The sequence below is a fragment of the Homo sapiens genome, chromosome 10, assembly GCF_000001405.40.
Source record: "Homo sapiens chromosome 10, GRCh38.p14 Primary Assembly".
NCBI lineage: Eukaryota > Metazoa > Chordata > Mammalia > Primates > Hominidae > Homo > Homo sapiens.
The window spans coordinates 28,816,723-28,826,806 of record NC_000010.11 but is presented as its reverse complement, the minus strand read 5'-3'; positions in this window follow the sequence as shown (position 1 = coordinate 28,826,806).

Sequence of the window (10,084 nt, the reverse complement as noted above, 5' to 3'; positions counted from 1 at the left end):
CCAAGAAGTGGAGGTTGCAGTGAGCTAAGATTGAGCCACTGAACTCCAGCCTGGGTGAAAGAGGGAGAGACAAAGTCTAAATAAATAAATAAATAAATAAATAAATAAATAAATAAATAAAAAGAGTGAATTGGGTCTTACTTCCCAGCACCTTCTCTACCAGGCAGCCGGTAGGCAGTGACTGTGCTCTTCTCCTGAAACAAACACCTCCCGCTTGCAGCTCCAGCTAAAGCTGAAATTCGCTCCAGCTTCTGCTTCCCATTCTTGCCTCCCAGGCCTGAGGGTCCCTGGCTGTTACTTGCCCGGGGGTTTGATCATCTTCGCTGGTATCCCTTCGCCCCGCCCAGACCTTTGCAGTCATTCAACTGCGTTGGAGTTGCCACCTATTTCCTGTAGAGACCCTGCCTGATACAACTGTGAGTGTGTGAAATTTCTCATGCTTTGTAAATTCTTTCGCGTTTTCTACGTAGAAAACCGTATCATCTGCAAATAGTAATATTTTATTTTTTTCCTTTCTGATTCTTACACTTTCTACTTTCCTTACACCGGCTTGTGCTCCAGAGCACTGCTGGTCTGCAGCGGCAAGAGCAGCCACCCCTGTTTCATGCCTGATTTTTAAAGAGAAGGCTTTTCATAATTCTCTACTCATAAGATGTTGGCTGTCGGTACAGGGATTTCCATCCTAAACCTTGCTTGCTAAGATTTTATCATGAATGGTTTATGAATTTCCTCAAATGCTTTTTCTGAATCTATTATGATCACAGGATTTTTCTCAAGACTACTGATATGAGGTATGACATAGTACATTTTATAACGCTAAATCAATCATTCTAGAAATAAACAGTACTTGTTCATTGCTTGCTATGGTTTGCTATTTAGGATTCTTGTCTTTAGATTGGTCTGGGGATCTTTTTTTCTCCTAAATGTCCTTGTTTGCTATTGGAATCTGGATTACATTTGTCTCATAAAATAGGTGAAAAATGTTCTGTCTCTTTCTATTCTTTGAGTTTGTATAAGCTTGAAACTAGCTGTTCCTTGAATATACAGTAGAAACTACTTATAAAAACATCTGGGATTGGTGTTTATTTTGTGGGAAGATTTTTAACTACCGACTCAAATTCTTTAAAAATTATAGGGCCCTTCAGGTGTTTATTACTTAAATCAGTTTTAAAATTTATACGTTTCTAGGAATTTTTCCACTTAACCTAAGTTTTTAAGTATTTGACATTAAGTTGATCATAGTATTCCCGTAAAATGTAATCTCTGCTGCATTAGCAGTTATGAACTTCATTCATTCAGATATTGTCATTTCTCTTTTTATTGATCTTACAAAAAGTTTGTCATTTTAAGCAGCTTTGGCTTTGATAATTTTGCGTCTTTGTTTCTTATTTTATTTCTTATTTCTATCTTATTATTTCTTTCTTCTTATCTTCTTAAGATAGATACATAGCCTTTCTTTTTTTTCCAGGTAAGCATTTAAGGTTAGAAATTATACTCTACAATATGACTTTAGCTATGTCTGCCAAGTTTCAACATATAATATTCCTGTTTTATTCAATTTTTACTATTTTCTAATTTCCACAATGGTTTCCTCTTTGAGCCATGGGTCCTTTTTATGTTTTATTTATTTATTTAGAGACGGAGTTTCACTCTTGTCGCCCAGGCTGGAGTGCAATGGCACGATCTCGGCTCACTGCAACCTCTGCCTCCCGGGTTCAAGCCATTCTCCTGCCTCAGCCTCCCGAGTAGCTGGGATTACAGGCGCCCACCACCACACCCAGCTAATTTTTGTATTTTTAGTAGAGACGGGGTTTCACCATGTTGGCCAGACTGGTCTCGAACTCCTGACCTCAGGTGATCTGCCCGCCTCAGCCTCCCAAAGTGCTGGGATTACAGGCATGAGCCACCACGCCCAGCCCATGGGTCTTTTTTAACATTACATGATAAGAGATTTATTTTAAGTTTATCTTTTAAACACTGATTTCTGGTTTATTTGTATCGTGCTAGGGACTTTGAGATTTGTAAGCTTGCTTTATGACCTGTTAAGTATAGGTGTCCCTCAGGGGCATTGGTTCCAGGACCCCCGTGGATTCCAAAACCCAAAGATGCTCAAGTTCCTCATATAAAATGGGAGTAGTGTTTGATTATAACCTATACACATCCTCCTATACACTTTAAATCATCGCTAGATTACTTATAGTACCTAATATAATGTAAATACTATGTAAATAGTTGTTATATTGTAGTTTTTAATCAGTAGTTTTTCATTGTTTTTGCTTTGTTATTATTTCATATTGTTTTGTTTTCATTGTTTTATTGTTACCTTTTTTTTTTTTTCAAACACTTTCTACTCAAGATTGATTGAATCTGAAGTTGTGGAACCACAGATACAGAGGGCCAACTGTCATCAATTTATAAATTGGCCTATGAGTACTTAAAAAGAATGTGTATTGACCAGGAACTGGGCACATTTTACACAGACACACACACACATACATACATATATATGTATGTACATTTCTCAGTAGATTAATATTGGTAATTGTGCTGTTCAAATCATCTATGTCTCCAATGATTTTTTAGTGAATCTATCACTAATTCCAAGAGAGAGATGTTTTAAAACCTCGATTTATCCTTAAAACTGTTAACTTAGGCTTTATATGTGATTCAGTGCCTACAAATTTAGAATTGTAACTTTCTGTTTAATTGAAACTTCTACCATTATGTTGAAACTGTAATAAATTATTTTTGCCCTTAAGCTAATTTGTCTTGACATGGTCCTATCTGCCAAGTCACTGAAGGCATCAGCATCCTGTGCTAGTTAAGTAATAACTGGAAATCTGGAATACAGAACCTGTCTTTTAGTAGCCACTAAATAAATTATTGTTGAAATAGTGAATGAATGGATGAATGAATACACCCAACTGACTGCCTGAATAGACAGTCAAAATAGCTTTCAGCTGAAGAGAGAAATTATATTCCCACCCACTTGTTTTTCATCCTCAAGCAAAAACCACAATACTGTAGCCAACACGAGAGTCTGTCCAATCAGTGCATTTCACCAGAGAAGCAATCTCCCCCTCCCTTGCAAATGGTGATTTTAAGGAAAAACCTTAACACTCTTTCTTAAGGAAAGTGCTTGGATAGGTTGGAAATTGAGTAAAGCTGTCAGTGACTCCACAGGGGGGAAAAAAGTTATATTTGCTGCCCCTGGTTGAAAATCAAAACAAACTTAGAATCAAACATTTTTATGGTCTGGAAAATGTGTGCTTGAGAAGATGCAGAGGAGTCCAGCAATTAAAAGGATATGAAAACATTTCATTTCTCTTGCATCGAATTAGTTTGCTGTTTGCAAATTTCAGAGATAAAATCACGTGGGTTTTCAGATCCTGTGTCTTATTGTAACAGATTTCAGGGGTGCAGGGTGGAGAAAGAGAAACAAAGACTAATGGAGAAGAGAAAAATAGAAGGAGTCAGACACAGAGAGAGGGAGAGAGAGGAAGACAGAGAAAGAGAGAGAAAGTTAGAGGCAGAGGCAGAGAGAATCCGATGGTGTACGCCCACTAAGAAACGTGCTCCCAACTGGCAAAGGGAGGAAAGGAGAAAGAAACCCTCCACCACTGAAGTTTATTTGCCTCACTTCTTTAGCTCTGGAAATAATAGATAAGGAGGAAACAGGGGGACTGGAAGGCGGGAGAGCAAAGGGAGGTTGTAAAACACTTTAATACATTAAGCTGAGGGAGGATTCCAGTGCTGGCGCTGAGGTTTCTTTCATTGATTAAGACCAGTGCCGACTAAAAGGGACAAGAGGGCGACCCCACATCCTCTCCTTTCCCTCTACAACTCCCTGTCCGTCTTTCACCAGCTCTGTCAGCCTGCATGTAAAGAGGCCTTCATCATATCTCAGAGTCCCAGCCCGGGAACCAGAATCAAGAGTTCATTGCCCCTCTGCCTGACAGGCCTCGCATTTCAGCAGTGTCAGGAAGCAGATGGAGATAACCCTTGCTTCCAGCAGAGAAGAGCAGAACCTGCAAATTTACATTCAGAGACCCATCTCATCCAACAGTCATCGTGGGGATTCCATAACACTTGATTTCTACCCAAAGAGAGCACTCATCTCAGTCTTGCTCTGCTTAAAGTAGGGTTTGTTGTGCACTTGTCTTTGAAACCCCAGCCTCTCCACTCTGCTGCACCTATGCGGCATTGCCTAATTCATTCATTTCAGGCTTCTCTGAAGCCTGACCAACCAGAATCTTGTTCGTAGAGGAAGGACTCTGTAAATTTAGAATTGAATTGAAACTGGGGCCAAGTAAGGGGTTGCATAGCTCCCTAGAAGTAAAGCTTAGATCTTCTGGGGTCTCACTCCAGGGCTCTTTCAACCTGACCACACCCCTATCGCTCAAAAAGGCAGCTAACTTTTTCCTTCTTCCAGACAGCAAGTGTCCACTAGCCTGGCGTCAATAACAATCTATTATTCAAATGACTCCCTGTGTTCCTATTTCCCTAGTTGTTCATTCTGGTCTCTTTCTTCCTACTTTGCAATGTCTAGAAACTATTACTGAGTTTATGATACATAGAGGAGATCATCTCCTGAACTGATCAGGCTTGAATGTGTGCGTGGATAAGACACACAGATCATCTTTATCGAGGGGGTTTGACTTAAGAATACACAAGAAACTAGGACAGCCCAAAAGCAGGCTCAAGCAGCAGTATAGACAGGCAAATCGTGGTGCTTCCAAGTTCATGACATACATCAGGCCCTGGGGAGAGCTGAAGCAGTGCTGGCTTAATGCTGCTCAGAATCCAACCTGAGCTGTAGACCCATTTCATGTGATTTTCCTGGCCCAAGAAGCCAGGTCAGTTTGCCGCTGTCCAGTAAGGAGTCATCCCATTGGGCAGGATGTTTTAGCTGTTAGGTCTCCTTTGTATGTATGTATGTATGTATGTATGTATGTATGTATGTATGTATTTATTTTTAGATACAGAGTCTCACTCTGTTGCCCAGGCTGGAGTATAGTGGCACAACCATAGCTCATGGCAGCGTTGAACTCTTGGGCTCAAGCGATCCTCCCACCTTGGACTTCAGAGTAGCTGAGACTACAGGCATGTGCCACCACGCCTGGTTAATTTTTTTTTTTTTTATTTTTTTTGTAAAGATAGGGGCTTGCTATGTTGCCCAAACTGATCTTGAACTCCTGGCCTCAAGCGATCCTCCTGCATCAGCCTCCCAAAGTGCTGGGATTACAGGCATGAGCCACTGTGCCCAGCCAATCTCCCTCATTTAGATCCTCAGGTTCTAAACCCATATCAGTCTCCTGAGTCCTGGACAATAACTTGGTACCTGGGAAGGAAGGCTGGCACTTAGAGTGCCTTACTCCTCTCCAGGACATCTCTCCTAACAAGTAGAAACTATTTTTTCAACTTTCCCATAAGCATTATTAATCTGTTTTCTTCCCAGTCTCTTTCAAGTTGTTATTCAACTCTTCTTTCCTCAAGCTACTCTGTCATTTACTACTCAATAAAGTCGCTCAATTTACTTACTGTCTATTCTGCCAATCAATTTCTAAAAGGTCCTTCCTCTCATTACAACAAAGCACTACCCAGAAGCTCCGGTCCCTACTGTCTTCAGGAATTTCTCATGCCATGTCAATGTCCTCTTCCCATCATGCCAACCCCATCTCAGAGATCTGCAGATCTGAGTACACATGGCATAAAGATGGCAACAGCAGACACTGCAGACAACTAGAGGGAGGAAGAAGAGATGAGGAACGGGTTAGGAAACTATACCTACTGGAGACTGTGCTTAATACCTGGGTGACAGGCTCAATCATTCCCCAAACCTCAGCATCACGCAATATACTCATGAAACAAACCTGCACGTACACCCCGACTCTAAAATAGAAGTTGTTTGCCAGCTCACATCTGTGATCCCAACACCTTGGATCGCTTGAGCCCAGAAGTTTGAGACCACCCTGGGCAACAATAGGGAGAACCTCTCTCTACAAAAAAATTAAAAATTAGCTGAGCATAATGACACACGCCTGAAGTCCCACCTACCTGGGAGGCTGAAGTGGGAGGATTGTTTGAGCCCAGGAGTTCGAGGCTGCAGTAAGCTGTGATCACACCACAGCACTCCAGCCTGGATGATAGAGTGAGACCCTGTCTCAAAATAAATAAATAGATAAAATTAAATTTACTAGCTGAAATTTTTTTTTAAATCACTAGTCATATGTTTTATATCCTTTTGATCTAACTTCTAAGGTAATTACTAAATAATTACATTATAATTTAATTAAATGATCAGTTTCACAATTATATTTTTATTAGAAATTAAGAATACTTAAATTATATATATAAAAAAGAAGTCTGCAGGTCACTGCTGGCATAAAATTTCCAGCAAAGGGTTCATGTTTCAGTTGGCACGTTTGTTACCCCACCCCCGTCTAATCGGGAACATACTTATCCTTCTACATAGGCAAACATATTAGTAACCTGCTGAATATTACTTGTTCTCCATGTCAAAGCTGTCATGTTCAGCCAACCACATAGGATAGCTTCCTCCTCTCTGCACTGTCCTTCAATAGCCTGCCCAAAGGGAGAACCACACCGACACAGAGAAGACTCTCTTCCCTGGAGAGACCACTTCCTCTCATTCTCTACATCAGTTTCTGAAACAGGTTTTTGTCTGACCTGCCTGGGTCTCACGCCCACCCTGTGGTGGGAGTGTTGTTGATTGCAAGCCATTAGTTGACTGACCCACCAGAATTATACAAATGCCAGAGTAGTAAATCCTAAAAGGGAGGAATAATCTGATTCAGACAAAATAGTAAGAGATGAGAACTTTTATCTGAGGAATACAAGTCATTTTAATTATCAAGTCCAGAGAGACATTAAAATGAGACAGCAACCATATTTTACTCCCCGCTTTGAGCTATGTATTCATCTCTTGAAACAACTTGCTATTGCCACAAGTAGCTATAAATTAACCTAATAATGCTGCACTGGACAGGTTCACAATGTATAGTCAATCACAAATCAATGTTATTTCTGTAAACCAATGAGAATTCCCGACAAGCAACTTCCTATCAGGCTACTCCCTGTCCCCGCCTCCTTTTTTTTTTTTTTTTGAGACAGAGTCTCGCTCTGTCACCCAGGCTGGAGTACAGTGGTGCGATCTTGGCTCACTGCAACCTCTGCCTCCTGGGTTCAAGTGATTCTCCTGCCTCAGCCTCCCGAGTAGCTGGGACTACAGGCGCACACCACCACATCCAGCTAATTTTTGTATTTTTAGCAGGGATGGGATTTCACCATGTTGGCCAAGATGGCCTTGATCTCTTGACCTCGTGATCCGCCCGCCTCCCAAAGTGCTGGGATTACAGGCATGAGCCACCTCACCAGGCCCTGTCCCCCTTTTTTTGCCTTTAAAAGTCTACTTGTAACTGCTGCTAACCAGAGTATATATTCAGGGCAACTTGAATCTGAATCTATGCTTCTGGGTTGCAATTCTCAAGCTTGGCCCAAATTATGTCTCTACTTATACCAATTTTGCCTCAGCTTCTTCCTTTTAAGTCGACAGACAGATCCACTGCATAGGTCTTCATTTGAAGGTAATAAAAATGGTTTTCTCTGTAGTATACAATTGATATCATAATGCATCTGTACACAAATCCCCTAAAACCATAACAGGTATTTTAACATGTTTAAAGGAAGCTTCCCTCTTACATGTGCACATATACACACATACAAACTCCAACAAAAGTGTTCATTTAAAAATTCACTGGAAAGCCTATTGAGTAAGGATTTTCACAAGGAAGTAAATCAAATGTGACTTTATTGGATATCAGATCAGCTCACTCTTTGTTTTTTAACAACTTCTTGTGTAAACTGTAAGAGAAACGCTCCTTGGGCTGGCAGAGGAGATGGGAGTTTGTTTAGGAGCTGTCTTGCTCAAGGGCTATTTTTTAGACACTAAACTCTTTCTTCTGCTTCGAGCACAGAAGCAGAGGGTTACATGAAATGAGTGAAGCACAAATAAATTTCTTAAAGGGGTGGGAAGGGGGAGAGGGAATAAAGTCTGTGGGTTTTGATATACAGTGTGGAGAGTACAGGTCAGGAGGAAAAAAAAGGGTCATTCAAACAAAGATACCCAAGAGGCCTACAAATGTGTCTCATTTTTGAGCATTATCCATTTTGGGGAAGGGGGGTTGTCGGATGTTGATTTATGCACCAGGCCACCAAACGTAACGTTTTGCCAATTTTTTTTTTAAGGAAATGTGGTCATTACCTTTGAATGAAATCCAACTAGCCAGCTTTCAATCATGCAGGAACTAACTGTCCTGGTGTGAGTTACCCAGATCCTTTTCCTAGCTGACCTCTTTGTATGATTACGTCACCTTGAGGAGAGCAGTGGAGGGGGAAGAACTTAAGAGCTTTAAAATCTCTGCTTGGGTAGTGAGGACGTAAATCCGTACCTAAATGGTAGTTATGGGTCAAGGATTGAAGACTGTCCTCACTCCCTGATCCTTCCACCACTTCAGAAACTATCAACATGGCCGGGCGCGGTGGCTCATGCCTGTCATCTCAGCACTTTGGCAGGCCGAGGCGGGCCGATCACGAGGTCAGGAGATCGAGACCATCCTGGCTAACACGGTGAGACCCCGTCTCTACTAAAAATACAAAAAATCAGCCGGGCGCCTGTAGTCCCAGCTACTCGGGAGGCTGAGGCAGGAGAATGGCGTGAACCTGAAAGGCGGAGTTTGCAGTGAGCGGAGATCGCGCCACTGCACTCCAGCCTGGGCGACAAAGCAAGACTCCGTCTCAAAAAAAAAAAAAAAAAAAAGAAAGAAACTATTAATACATCTCCTAGGAGCTTTTCTTACTGAAATTAAAAAGGGAGAAGGGCTCCGGGGTGGGATGGTTGGGCGAAGGGGGATCAGAGTTTAAGAAAATAAATCCTTTCAGAAAAGGAGGCCAAAAAAGACTCCATTTATCGCGATGATGATGAATTCCTGAATTCACTTGACTGTTTCCATTTTTCTCCATCTTTCTACCTTTGCCCCTTTTTATTTATATGTATGAGCTCCTTACATATTATGAATAATAATCTTTATCAATCATGTAGCTTGCAAATATTTTACCTGAGACTGTTGATCATATTTTTCTTATTTCACTGCATTAAACCTTTTTACCTTAACTAAATTTGGGTAAAATGTCTTTATGAAAAATGTATCGGCTCTTGATATATTGGTTTTAAAAAACAATGTTTAATGGCTTAATTAAGAATGAATATATTATTTTAAGTTTTCATACAATACAGAAGTATATCGACTACAAAAAAGAACCACTTTTACCTCCTCCCTCCCCCGGCCCCAATCACAACACACACCCCCACAGAAAGCACTATTACAGCTTGGTATGTAAATTTTAGGCTTTTTTTCTATGCAGTTGTACATGTGCATTCATACATACACACAAACGCACAAACAGACACACACACCGGAGGTATATAAATAGCATTAAACTGTACATATTGCTCAATGTGTACTTTGTCACATAAAAATATGTCTTATTAATCTTTCCATGTCAGTACTAAGGTCTCTACCTTAGCCTCTGTCTCACTCTCTCTTTTTTTTTTTTTTTTTTTTTTGGTTGCCCAGGCTGGAGTGCGGTGGCGCGATCTCAGCTCACTGCAACCTTCACCCTGAGGGTTCAAGCAATTCTCCTGCCTCAGCCTCCTGAGTAGCTGGGATTGCATGCGCCACCACGCCTGGCTAATTTTTTGTATTTTTGTAGAAACGGGATTTCACCATGTTGGCCAGGCCGGTCTCAAACTCCTGATCTCAAGTGATGAGGCTGAGGTGAGTGGATCACTATAGGTCTACCTTAGTCTTTACAGGTCTACCTTAGTCTCTCTCTCTCGTTTTTTTTTTTTTTTTTTTTTTTTTTTTTTTGGTTCACTCAGGTTGGAGTGCAGTGGCGCAATCTCAGCTCACTGCAACCTCTGCCTCCAAGTTTAAGCGATTATCCTACCTCAGCCTCCCAAGTAGCTGGGATTACAGGCACACACCACCATGTCCAGCTAATT